The 14,293-nt window shown below is 36.5% G+C and overlaps 1 long non-coding RNA gene across 2 annotated transcripts in view; it reads left to right on the plus strand.

Annotated features, from left to right (window-relative positions):
* Positions 1-14,293, plus strand: part of LOC105376454 (uncharacterized) — a 42,321-nt gene that overhangs the window by 8,962 nt on the left and 19,066 nt on the right. For both annotated transcript variants that reach the window (XR_930753.3, XR_930754.3), the window contains exon 4: positions 4,755-4,932. This is a non-coding gene — a long non-coding RNA (uncharacterized LOC105376454). The remainder of the gene's footprint in view (positions 1-4,754; positions 4,933-14,293) is intronic.

Below are 14,293 nucleotides of genomic sequence, written 5' to 3' on the forward strand. Positions count from 1 at the left end.
TCCTGCAAGATAAATTCTAAAGAAGTGAGATCACGGGCTCCTTAAACACTGTTATTTTAACTAAATTGGTGCCCTTTAAAAAATAGTTGCTCATCTCTGCTTGACACCAATGCAAAGTGTTGTTTTGATAATTTTCTCATAATGCTCCTTACTAACATATTGCATATTCTTGTTTTCATTTATTTTTAATTATACAAGTTATAGAAAATTTTCTGGTAAAAAAACTACACCAATACAGAAAAATTCTTGATGCCATCAATCTCTTCAAAAACAAACAGATAACCACTGCTATTAGTTTCTATATCAGTAAATGTAGATCTACCCCATCCTTTGAAGCCCTTGTACATAGATATACTATGAAGTAACCACGTTCTAAATTAAGGGCATTAAAAATACTTTATAATGTTCACTTTCATAAGTAATGCTCCAGTGAAAATTCTTTATCTACTCCTTATATGCATGTATGAATATGTCTCAGGAACAAATAACTAGAGTGGAATTGCTGGGCCAAACGGTATGCACAAATGAAGCTTTAATGGATAACTGCACAATTGTCTTCCCACAAGTATTACAAATGATTCACATTTCAACAACAATGCAGGAGAATTCTCATTTTTTTAGACACTCTTGCCAATGCAAAAATATCAGTCTAAAATATCTTTTGCTAATTTGATGGGTAAAAGAAATGCTGTTTTATGTTGTATTTTAAATTATTACTATTATTAATTACTATTTTTATTATTTGAGACAGGATCTCACTTTGTCCCCCAGGCTGGAGTGCAGTGGTGCAAACACAACTCACCTCAACTCTGACCTCCTGCATTCAAGCAATCCTCCTGCCTCAGCCTCCCAAGTAGCTGGGACCATAGATATGCGCCACCATGCCTAGCTAATTTTTAATTTTTTTGTAGAGTTGGGGTCTTGCCATGTTGCCCAAGCTGGTCTCGAACTCCTGAACTCAAGCAATCCTCCTGCCTCAGCCTCCCAAAGTGCGGGGATTACAGACGTGAGCCATCGCTCCCAGCTGTATTTTAAATTAATAGTGAGATCAAATAATTTTTAAACCTTAATTGTCCCATTCATAGCAATTGCCAATTTTCTATTAGGTTGTCTGCCTCTTATTGACTTGTAGTTTATTTTATATGTATGTTTGTACATGTATGAATGTGTGTCCATATATCAATTATTTTTCTTTTGTATATGTTGCTAACATTTTTTTCTAGTTTGTTGTTTGATTTTTAACTTTTGAATAAGGTTCCTTCTTGTATAGTTTTCAAAGTTTTATGAAGTAAAATTTATTAACACCGTTTTTGGGTCTGTGAATGCATTTTCAAGTACAAGGTAATAAACACATTCTCTTATATTTTTGAATTGTTTAGCTTTAAAAATCCTTTAACAGCTTTATTGAGATGTAAACCGTATATCACACAATTCACTGATTTAAAGTATACCATTCAATGTTTTTTAGTGTATTCTTAGAATTGTGCACCCATCACCATGATCAATTTTAGAACATTTTCATCAATCCCAAGAGAACCCTCATACTCATTTGCAGAAACTTGACATTTTACCTCAACACTGTTGGCCTTCCACAACCTACCAGGCAACTATGAATCTAATTTTTGTTTCTTATTTTTGCTTATTCCGAGTATACCATACAAATGGGGCCATATTACATGTGGTCTTTTGTAACTGGCTTCTGTCACTTAGTATAATGTTTTCGTTTCATCTATGTTGTACAGCTTTGTATTTTACAATTAGACTTTTAATCCATCTGGAATTCATTGATTTCTATCAATTGGGTAAATAGTTATATATAAATTTATCTTTTAAAGAGGGATAGCCAGCTGTACCAACGCTATCTACTGAAGATTCAGTCTACCCTTTTCCCACTAACCTAAACTGTCTCCATCATCCATATGTATGGATCTATTTCTGGGTTTTACTTCTTTATTCTTGAGCCTGTATTTATTGAGCCTTTATTCTTGAGCCTGATTTAAGGATTTGATAGGGTCTCGCTCTGTTGCCCAGGCTGGCGCGCAGTGGCCTGATCATAGCTCACTGCAGCCCTGAACTCCTGGGCTCAAGCAATGCTCCTACCTTGGCCTCGCAAAGTGCTGAGATTACAGACATGAGTCACCATGCCCGGCCCTCTGCAGTAGAATTTCACTAACTAGTAGGGTAAGTCTTCCCTCGTTTTCTTTTTTCCTAAAGTTTTCTTGATTCATTCACATTTTCTCTTCCATTTTAATTTTAAAATGGGCTTGTCAAGTTTCATTAAGATATTGTTTAAATTTTGATTGGAACTTCATTGAAATTAGAGTTTATTTTATTTTATTTTATTTTATTTTTTTGAGATGGAGTCTTGCTCTGCCATCCAGGCTGGAATGCAGTGGCGTGATCTCGGCTTACTGCAACCTCTGCCTCCTGAGTTTAAGTAATTCTCCCACCTCAGCCTCCCTAGTAGCTGGGATTACAGGCGTGTGCCACTACGCCTGGCTAATTTTTGTATTTTTACTAGAGACGGGGTTTCACCGTATTGGCCAGGTTGGTCTCAAGCTCCTGACCTCAGATCATCTGCCTGCCTCAGCTTCGCAAAGTGCTGGGATTACAGGCATGAGCCACTGTGTCCGGCCTAGAGATTAATTTTTGAAGAAATGTTATGTTACCTTTATAATATTGGGTTTTCTGTATTTTTATTGAATTTATAGCTGTATTTTAATTCATTCAAAGGAGGATAGATATTCCATCTGGAATTAAATTTTTAATTGTTATTGATGTATAGGAATGCCATTTACTGGGGTAGAAACTGTAGAGGGAAGTGTAGAATTTGATCAAAAGATAATGAGATCTGCTTAGATCCATTCTGCCTAAGATGTTTGTGAGAAATGAAGATGGAGATATACACACCAAATATTGCACCATTAATATTGGTGACTTTTTTGGAATGGCAATAGGAAGGTAGATGGTCTGTAAAGTCTTTTGAAAAAGAATTTGACATTTGGGCCAAACATATGTGAAACTATTGGCTTTGAAACCAGCAGAGCTTCTAACTTACTGTTGCAAATTGCTATTTTAATAAAGTAGGGAAAACCACAATGAACAGTTTAATTGTATTGCCTCAAATTGAAGTCAATAGCTATTCTTGAACTCATAGCTTGTCACACAGCTTCCTCTTTCTCCATGGTTTTTATTTTTTATTTTTTGGGGGGCAGGGAGTGGTGGGGGATGGGGTCTCAGTCACCCAGGCTGGAGTACAGTGGCTCAATCATGGCTCACTGCAGCCTCAACCTCCTGGGCTCAAGCAATCCTCTTGCTTCAGCCTTCCAAGTAGTTGGGACTACAGGCACTTGCCACCAAAGCTGGCTACTTTTTAAATTTTTTGTAGAGACAGAGTCTCACTATGTTGCCCAGGCTGGTCTTGAACTCCTGGACTCAAGCAATTCTCCTGCCTCAGCCTCTCAAAGTACTGGGTTTACAAGTGTGAGCCACCGTGCCCAGCCTTTCTCCAAGGTTTGGTTGCAGTTGTATCCTTCCATTATCTCAGATGTCAGCACAGCAGGTTGTAACCTAGTTTTCGTAGGGCACCTAAATGGTTAAATCAAAAGGGTGATAACAGTAGCCAGTGATATTTCTCTTCTCTGCAACAACAAACTCTTGTAGGACCCCCGATTTCTCTCTTTGATGTTCTTCTCAAATATCTCAGGAAACCCTCAGGGGAATTTTGGTGGATTTTCAAGCACAGTCCTCTTTGGTTCCTTGCAGAGCCTGATATCGCCCACTCTCCTGCTAAGCCTCTCCTGTGGTGACCTGCTGCACTGTTCTTTGATGCCCACCACGGCACTAGGAAGGTGCCCAGCACAGTCAGGTTACCCTTTGGTCAAACCACATGGACTGTCTACCTGCTGTGTCACTGATGCTGCAGAAGATGTTGTATTCTCTACCAAAGTGCGGAGAGTCTGTCCCCTTGTACCCAAACATCATGTAATACTCTCACCTGGCCAGAGCAGTGCTGCCTTGGGCTCTAAACACACTCTTGTCTGCATGCAGTTGAGTAGCTGGATGGGCTCAGTGATATGCTCAATGTCCTCCTTACTCTCCAGTTGGCCAATAGTTCTTGGGGCCTTGACATTGAACCAAGCTTGTGTGCCTGACTTCCAGCCTCTTCCGTCTTGGTTCCATGCATAAATAGACTCTAGGGTCCCATTGGGGCCTTCCGGATACCACCAGAATGCCTGAATCTTAAGCTGACTACAGTTTAGGTTCAAGCTAGAATCCTTTCTGCTCATCTGAGGAAATGTCTAAGGAAATGACTCAGAATCATGTATTAAGTTTGAATCATCCTAGTAGGCCTGGGCCATCTGCTCATACGTGGTAAGGAAAGAATTGTGGTTTCAGGCATATGGCTTTTGCTATTAAGCTTTATTGTCGTCTCTTATTGGTGAGAATGATATATTGTTTAAAACTAAGGAGTTGTGATAGCATGTTACTGAACCTACAGCAAAATACCATCTCAGTTACATTTATGATTTGATGCCTAAACTAATGGAATGAGCATGAGAGCAGCAATGAGTGGTGCATGCAAAGAATTGGGACATGGACAAAAAACAGGCTATTTCTTATTTATTGGCAACTTTTTACAAAATTGAGAGCGGCTGGCAGTTGTCAGAAAGAAGGCCTGGATGGTCAATCTCCTTGTACCGATGGTGAGTATTGACAATAATTTTTTTTTGTATTTCTTTTCACTTCCAAAGGATAGGGAAATTTGGCGACCTCAACCTGTCCAAGTCTTCAGGATCTGCTGCTGCCACTGTTCACTGCAATTCCTTAGGTTTAGCTTAATTGGCGCCATTGGGAACATGTAGAAATTCATTTTAGAGAGTGCTACCTTGATGACTTAACGGTCTTACAATAGTAGGCAGAGACAGAAAGGTGAGTATCAGATATGTGCTTTAGAAGCATGTTGCTTTAATCCAATCTCCGCTTTTAGACAGACCTCATGATAAAAACTTCCTTACGGCTTTCTAACCTATTCTAATATGTATCCTAAAGACATCCTGTGGTTACGTATCCTGTGTCTCACAGGCATTATTATTTAGAGAAAGCTTTCCAACTTTTGAAACTTGAGTCATTTATTCCAGTTTTATCTTTAGTGAAAATGACAGATTCTTATTTAATTCTTCTGGCTTTAAATTGCATGTGGAATGGGATGTGAAGGAATGCATCTAAGTTCTGAAGTCAGACAGACCTGAATTTAAACCTTGGTTTCACCACTTGCTAGGTGTGTGACCTTTAGCAAGTCACTTAACCTCTCTGAATTTCTCTTTATTCAACTCTAAAGTGGGGATATAATGCACATATTGTCAGGTATCATAGAAATTAAATAAAATAATGGATGTGAACATGGCTGGCATACCTTACTGTTCAACAGTTGTCCTTGCCCTATGTGTTATTTTCAGATATGCCGTAAATCCAAGTCATTATTTCATATTGATCTGGCTGCTTATGTAACAGGTGACGTCAGCAAAGAAAGAGTTCGTTACAGTAAAGGAAATCTTTAGAAAGCTAGTTACAGCTTGAAGATTGGACTGGGATCCGGGAGATGGAATTATTTTGCAACCTAAGATTAGTTCAGGGAAAAAGATTAATGAGTCACATTATGCAAACAGATCAAGCTAATGAAAAATGAAAATGTTCTGGTTTGCAGCTTGAGTTGATTTAATAATATTTGTGCAATAACAACATTAAATTCAAGGTCTCTTCCAGCAAATTGGACTTTACCCGGAACTTTTCTCTCAGAGGAAAGGTCCTCCTCCCTGGAATCACAATCTAACTGATCGCTTTGGGTGCAGCCCTCTCTGTGGTGCAATTTTAGGGCCGTCTAGAGTTCTCCCTCCCTCTGTGAGTCTCAAACACTCGGCTCTTTCTCTTCCTTCCTCTGATGTAGCTATTGAGGTGATTGTCGCTTTCATCTACCTCTTTCTATGAATTAAGTTATCTGATCGAATTATAGAGTAAGCCAGAATCAGAGATTAATACGTAATTGGCACACATTTATCTGATTAACCCTAGCAGGGAATAGAGTTCCAAGTTAAATGTTGTTGAGGAAGAACAAGTCGGGTTCCAGAATGGGATCTTTGGGAAGAAGCCTGTAATCTACAGGGGCTGAGGTGCTACTGATGAGAGGCAGTTATTACCTGAGCTCCCTGGACATACTGCTTATGTTCCCATCGGTGATGGGGTCAATTACACCTTGTCGTGGCATTCGCTGTTTTTATTTTTTGTTTTTGATTTTGAGACCAGGTCTTTTTCTGTTGCCCAGGCTGGAGCACAGTGGCATGATCATAGCTCACTGCAGCCTTGACCTCTTGGACTCAAGTGATCCTCCCATCTCAGCCTCCAGAGTATCTGGGACTACAGGTGCTCACCACCATTCCTGGCTAATTTTTACATTTTTCTTTTTTTTTTTTTTGGTAGAGACAAGATCTCACATTGTTGCTCAAGCTAGTTTTGAACTCCTGGGCTAAAGCAAAGCACTTCTCCCACTTCGGTCTCCTAAAGTGCCATGATTACAGGCTTCACTGTTTTTATATTTCTGTCATTCCTACTAGGCTATAAAACCCTTATGGGAAAGGAGCTCCCTTTTCATATCGCTGAAATTCTCTGAGTGTCTTCCTTGCACCTAGTGGGTATATTCAATAAATGCCTTCCTTGCATCTAGCAGGTAGTCAACAAATGCCTGTTGAATGAGGAGTCATTGAAGAAAATCTTTACTTTTTTTTTTTTTTTGCCTAGGACTGAACTTCATAATTCTATTTCCATTTGTTGCTTCACATAACTACCCTTCTGTGAAGTCCTTTCTATTTTCTGCCCAGCTTTGGACCTGTCTTCTCTTCCTTTTGATCTTCATGGCCATTACCTCCAATACATCTGAACAGTCTCACTTCTCAGTTGAAGTATATGGCTGTTTTTGCTTTTTCCTTCTCACTATACTCTTGATATCCAACTAATGCTCATAGCGACCAGGAAGAAATCCACCATTTCACTTCAATATCACATGAGCAGGAAATAAGCAGAGTTCACTGTGCTTTTGAAATGCTCTATAAGTTCAAGTTACAGTACAAAAACTAATCAATTTACTAATAAAGGCAAATAATATTATTGAACACATCAATTATATGTCAAGTCTGGAAACAGACAGTAGGTAAGATAGATGCTTTAGGGTATTGCTGAAAGCACTTTGATGACTAAAATTCCATTGTTCTGAACAATTTTTAAATCTGGTCAGGAATACTGGAAAGATTTTTACATTATAGTAAAATTCATCTTAATGTTTCCTTCATTGAAGTGAACTGCATTGATTCTTTCTCTCTTTTTTTCCTATGAGGGAACAATATGTTCAGGTATTTTTTTATGATTAAAATTTTGATTTTGAAGTGACCACAGATTCATTAAGAAATAATACAGAGGGACCCCATGGACTCTTTGTCCAGTTTCACCCAATGATAACATCTTGTAAAACTGTAACACAATATCACAATAGGATATTGACACTGATACTCTCAAGATACAGAACATTCCATCATCATTTGGATCTCTCATGTTACCTACTTCTTTCCTGCCAACCCCCTTCTTAACAACTGACAACAACTAATCCATTTTTCGTTTCCTATACTTTTTTCATTTCAAGAATGTTCTATAATGGAATTATTCAGTATGTCACCTCTGAGATTGTCTTTTTTTCACTCAGCATAATTTTCTGGAGATTCATCCAGGTTATTCCATGTATTAATACTTCATTTCTAGGCAGGTGTGGTGGCACACCCTATAGTCCCAGCTCCTAGAGAGGCTGAGGCAGGAGGATTGCTTGAGGCCAGGAGTTTGAGGCTGTGGTGAGCTATGATTGCACCACTGCACTTCGGCCTGAGTGGCAGAGTGAGACCCCATCACAAATAAGTTCATTTTTCATGTTACTACAGCGTAGATGGTACAATAGCTTGTTTAACCATTCACCCATTTTTAGCTTTTGACTATTTCAAATAAAGCTATTATAAACATTTGCGTATAGGTTTTGGTGTGAATATAGTCTTCATTTCTCTGGGATAAATACCCAGCAATGTGATTTTTGGGTATATAGTAGTTACATGTTTAGTTTTTAGGAAACTGCCAAACTTTTCCAGAATGGCAGTACCATTTTACATTTCCACTAGCAAGGTATGAGTTATCCAGTTTCTCAACTTTATTGGTGGCATTTGGTGTTATCATTATTTCTTATTTATCCATTCTGATATGTGTGTAGAGGTATCTCATTATGGTTTTAATTTCATTTCTCTAATGGCTAATGATGTTGAATATTTTTTCAAATGCATATTTGTCACCTTCATGTCTTCTTTGGTAAAATGTATCTTCATGTCCTTTGCTTATGTTCTAATTGAATTGTTTGTTTTTTACTGTTGAGTTTTGAGAGTTATCTATATTGTCTAGATACTAGTGCTTTGCAAAATACGTGGCTTACAAATATGTGGTTGCAGATATTTCCCTGTCTTTAGCTAGTATTTTCATCTTCTTAGTAGGATTTTTCACAGAACAAAAGTTTTAAATTTTTATAAAGTCAAATGTACCCATTTTTACTTTGTGGATCGTGCTTTGGATGTCAAGTCTAAGAACTCTTTTTCTAGAATCTTAAGAATTTCTTCTATGTTTTATCTAAATGTTTTATAGTTTTACATTCTACATTTAAGGTTTGACACATTATTAGTTAATTTTTGCATATATTAATTTAGTTAAGTTTGTATAGTGTGAGACAGATTGAGGTTTATTATTTTTGCCTGTAGATATCCAATTGCCCCAGCACCATTTGTTGAAAAGGTTAACTTTTTCTCTATTGAATTGTGTTTGCACCTTTATCAAAAATCAGTTGGGCATATTTGTGTGGGCATATTTGGGTTCTGTATTCTTTTCCATTGATCTATGTGTCTTTTCCTTTACCAATACCACACAGTTTTGACTACTGTAGCTCTATAATATATTTTAAAATATTTTATTCTTTTAAAAAATTGTTTGAACTATTCTAGTTTGTTTGCTTTTACATATATATTTTGGCGTAATTTTGTCTGTGTTTGCAAAAAGTTTCACTGGGATAGGAATTGTGTTAAACAAGTATATCAATTTGGGGAAAATCTGACATCTTTACCATACTGAGTCTTCTAATCCATGAATAAAGAATATCTTTCTATTTATTAAGATCTTTGATTTCTTTAATCAGATAGTGTTATATAGTTTTTATCCTATGAGTCCCACACACATTTTGGTAGATTTTCACCTAAGTAATTAATTTTTTGAGTGATTATGAATGTTGTAGTTTTATTTTTATTTTGTCCTCCTTGTCAGTTTTTTTTGGGGGGTGGGGGGAGGTGACAGAGTCTTGCTCTGTCGCCAACGCTGGAGTGCAGTGGTGTGATCTCAGCTCACTGCAACCTCTGCCTCCCAGGCTCAAGTCATTCTTGTGCCTCAGATTCCCAAGCAGTTGAGACTACAGGAATGTGCTACCGCACTCACCTAATTTTTGTGTTTTTAGTAGAGATGGGGTTTCGCCATATTGACCAGGGCTGGTCTTGAACTCCTGGCCTTAAATGATCTGCCTGCCTGGGCCTCCCAAAGTTCTGGGGATTACCGGCATGAACCACCATGCCTGGCCCTAGTGTTGTATTTTTAATTTAGGTATCCATTTGAAATCATTTGAAATCACTTATTAGTTCTAGCAGTATTTTTTTTGTTGTAGATTCCTTTGACTTTTCTGTGTAGAAATAATGTAATGTGCAAATAGGGACAGTTTTATTTCTTCCATTCTGATCCAAGTGTCTCTTTATTTTTCCCTCTTGTCTTTCCCTGATTGCACTGACTAAAACTTCTAGCACTTTGTTGAGTAAGATTGGTGACAGTGAACATCTTTACCTTTTTCCAATCTCAGGAAAGTATTCAGTCTTTTACCATTAAGTATGTTAGCTCCAGGGTTTTTTAGATGCTCTTTATAAGTTCCCGTCTATTCCTAGTTTTCTGAGAGCTTTTATCATACATGGGTATGAAATTTAGTCAAATGCTTTTTCTTCATCAATTAATATAACCATGTATGGTAGAATATATAGGTTGATGGCCAGGCACACTGGCTCATGCCTGTAATCCCAGCACTTTGGGAGGTTGGGGCAGGGGATCACTTGAGGTCAGGAGTTCAAGACCAGCCTGGCCAACATGATGAAACCCCGTCTCTACTAAAAATACAAAAATTAGCCAGACATGGTGGCAGGCACCTGTAATCCCAGCTACTTGGGAGGCTGAGGCAAGAAAATTGATTGAACCTAGGAGGTAGAAGTTGCAGTGAGCCAAGATCACACCACTGCACTCTAGCCTGGGTGACAGAGGGAGATTCCATCTGAAAACAAACAAACAAAAACCCCCAAAAACCCAAAGAATATACAGATTGATTTTAAATGTTGAACCAGCCTTGCGTTTCTTAACTAAACCCGACTTGGTCCTGGTGTCTAATTCTTTTTATATTGCTGAATTCTCTTTGCTAATATTTTGTTATGGATTATTGTATCTATATTCATGAAGAATATTTTTCTGTAGTTTTCGTTGTTTGTACTGTCTTTGGTATGGTATTAGGCTAATACTAGCTTCATAAATAAATTGGGAAGCCTTATTGCCTCTTCTATTTTCCAGAAGACATTGTGTAGAATTGGTGTTACTTATTCTTTAAAAGTTTGGGAGATTTCTCCAGTGAAGACTTCTGGGCCTGGAGATTTCTTTTTTGGAGGCTTAAAATTATGAATGAAATCTCATCAATGTTATATATAGGGCTATTCAAATTTTTCTATATCTTATTGGTTGAATTGCAATAGTGTTTTTTTCAAGGAAGTAGATCATTTTTTTCTGAGTTAAATTTATGTGTGTAAAATTCATAGTATCCATTTTACTGTGTATAGGTCTGTAGTGATATTCCATGTTCCATTCGTATAAATATTGGTAATTTGTGTCTTCTCTCCTTTTTCTTTCTCAGTCTTGCTAGATTTTGTCAATTTTATTGATCTTCTCAAAAGACCAGTTCTTTGTTTCATTAATTTTCTCTTTTGTTTTTCTGTTTTCAATTCACTGATTTATGCTATCGTCATATTTTCTTCTGCTTGCTTTGGATTTATTTTGCTCTTCTTTGTCTGGGTTATTGAGGTGGGAGTTTGGATTATTGATATGACACCTTTCTTCTTTGTCTGATGTATGTATTTACTACTGCAAATTTCTTCTTTATCATTGCTTTAGCTATATCCTACAAATTTAATACATTAAACATTTTTATTAAGTGCAATGCATTTTTAAAATTTCCTTTGAGACTCCCTCTTTAGCCCATGGATTATTTAGAGGTGTGTTGTTTAGTTTCCAATTGTTAAAAATTTTCCTATTGTCTTTATGTTATTGATTTCTAGTTAGATTTAATTGTGGTCAGAGAAAACACTCTGTAAAAGTTCAATTCTTTTAGATGTTTTGAAATTTGTTTTATTGTCCAAGATTTTGTCTATCTTGATATATCTTTCCACAGGAACTTGAAAGAGCATTCTGCTGCTGTTTGATGGAATATTCTATAAATGTTCATTAGATCATGTTAGTTGATGGTATTGTGGAATTTTTTCACATCCTTACTGATTTTCTGTCTAGTTGTTCTATTAGTTGTTGACAGCAGGGTATTAAAATCTCCAAGTATAATGTGGATTTGTCTATCTATGTTTTTAGCTCTATTAATTTTTGCTTCGCACATTTTGCTGCACTGTTGTTTGGTGCATACACATTTAGGATTGCTGTGTCCTCTTGGTGAATTGACCCTTTTATCACTATATACCATTCCTCTCTGTCTCTGGTAACCTGCCTATATTGTTACACTTGAAGTGAGTTTCTTATAGATAGCAAACATTGGGTCATGTTAATTCACTCTGACAATCTCTGTTCTTTAATTGGTATATTTACACCATTTTCATTTAATGTAATTATTGCTGTGTTAGGGATTAAGACTGACATTTGCTGTTTTCTGTTTGTTCTTGCTGTTTTTCATTTTTCTGTTTTCTTTTTTCCTGTGGGTTACTCAAACAGTTTTTAAGAATTCTATTTGGATGTTTCTATATAGTGTTTTTGAGCGTATCTATTTGTAGGACTTGTTTAGTTGTTGCTCTGGGTATTACATTACATATACATAATTTATCATTGTCTACTGCTATTATTTACTGGTTCAAGTGAAGTATAGAGATCTTACCCTTCTTTACCTTCCTTCATCCTCCTTTTTTATATGCAATTCATTGTCATTATTGTAGTAGTTGTATTCTACAAAGTCTCTGAATTAGCAAATACTATACCATTGCTCCTAGGGGAAATACAAGGTTAGATTCCTGGGAGCCTCAGGTCATGATATTATCAACTGATCAATACATAACCTTGTTTCATAGATGTTTCTATTTAAAGATACCTTTAAATTCAATTAACATTGAATTCATGGCCAACAGCTCTGTAAGTCATGCCTAAATAAAGCTTATCTAACACACATGGTTTCTCCATCAGGCACATCACAGCTTTCTTGCACTTAGAAACAGTAGACAGCATTTCAGCACTACAGTGGGGATCATTTTAAACAGTGCATTAGCCAACAAAATGTAAAAAATTGCAAATAACTTAGCATTAGATAGACTACGAAAAAGGCACTTGTTTATAATATGAGCTGAAACAAAAGGTGACAGCCATGTTCAACCTCAGCTTGAAATATATTAGAAGACTCAAATTTTCTACCACTCTGCACGTGTTTGTGAATGACTATGAAAGTGCTGTGAGTATTAATTTCATGGTTACAAATAAAATTCAGTGAATGGGAAGATTCACAAATACAGAATCTATAAATAATGAGGATCAACTATACTTTTGTTCTTGCTTATTGGTATAAAATTTTCTTCTTTTATCATTTCTTTTCTATTTAGGGAATTTTCTTTATCTGTCCTTTCAGGATAGGTCTATTGATGACAAGTTCTCTTTATTTTTGTTAATGTAAGACTCTTGATTTCCTCTTTATTCCTAAGGCATATTTTCACTGGACATAAGATTCTGGGTTGCCAATTCTTTTCTTTCAGCACTTGAAAAATGTGTTGCTTCCTTCAGGCTTCCTTGGTGTCTGATGAGAAATCTACTGTCATTTGAATTCTTTTTTTTTTAGTATAGGTAAAGTTTAAGATTTTTCTGTCTTTAGTTTTCAGAACTTTAATTATGATATGTTTTGGCATGGATTTCTTTGAGTTTGTCCTATTTAAGGTGGACTCAACTTCTCAAATTTGTAGGTTTATTCTGCCAGATTTGGGAAGTTTTCAGCCATTTTATGGTCAAGAACTCTTTAGCCCTATCTTCTTTTCCTTTTTTTTTTCTTGGATTCTGATGACGTGAATATATATATATATATATATATATATATCTTCTTATAGTCCTACAGGGTCCTGAGTCTCTGTTCTTTCTTTTTTTGATTTGTTGTTTAGACTAAGAAATTTTTATCATTGTGTCTTCCAGTACACTAATTCTTCCCTCTGTCTTCTTCATTCTGCTGTTGAGTACATCTACCAGGTTTTTAAAATTTCAATTATTGTGTTTTTCAGTTCTAAATTTTCTATTTGTTTCTTCTTTAAATATTCTAGTTCTTTGCTGAGACTTTCTGTATTTCTTGCTAAAGCTTTCTGCTTTTTATTTGTTTCAAGTGTGTAAATAATTGTTCTTTGAAACATTTTTATCATGCCTGCTTTAAAATATTTTTAGACCATTCCAACAACTCTGTCACTTGATGTTGGTATCTATTGATTGTCTTTTTGCATTCAGTTTGAGATAGTTTTACTTTTTGGTGTGAGGAGTGGTTTTTGATTGAAATCTGGACATTTTCGTAGTGTACTAGGAGACTGGATGTTACTTAAATCTTCTGTTTTGCTGGCAGATTCTGACACCACTCTGGCAGGGAGAAGTGAGCATTGCCTTGTTACTGCCTGGTGGAGGTAGAAACTCATGATCCCTGTTTGGCTTCTGATGACACCCAAGTAGGTAGCTCAGCTTATAACTTGGAGGGGATAAGGGTTCTGGCTTTTCATGTGGTCTCCACTGATACTGCAGTGAGGCTGGCCTTTTAACCACTGGGACATCGTGAAATTTCTGACTCTCCACTAGCCCTATTCTGACATTACTCCAGTAAGTTATATTCATATTTTTTAAAATTTCCCTTATGTCTAAGAAA

This window comes from Homo sapiens, chromosome 10 (genome assembly GCF_000001405.40).
Source record: "Homo sapiens chromosome 10, GRCh38.p14 Primary Assembly".
Classification (NCBI taxonomy): Eukaryota; Metazoa; Chordata; class Mammalia; order Primates; family Hominidae; genus Homo; species Homo sapiens.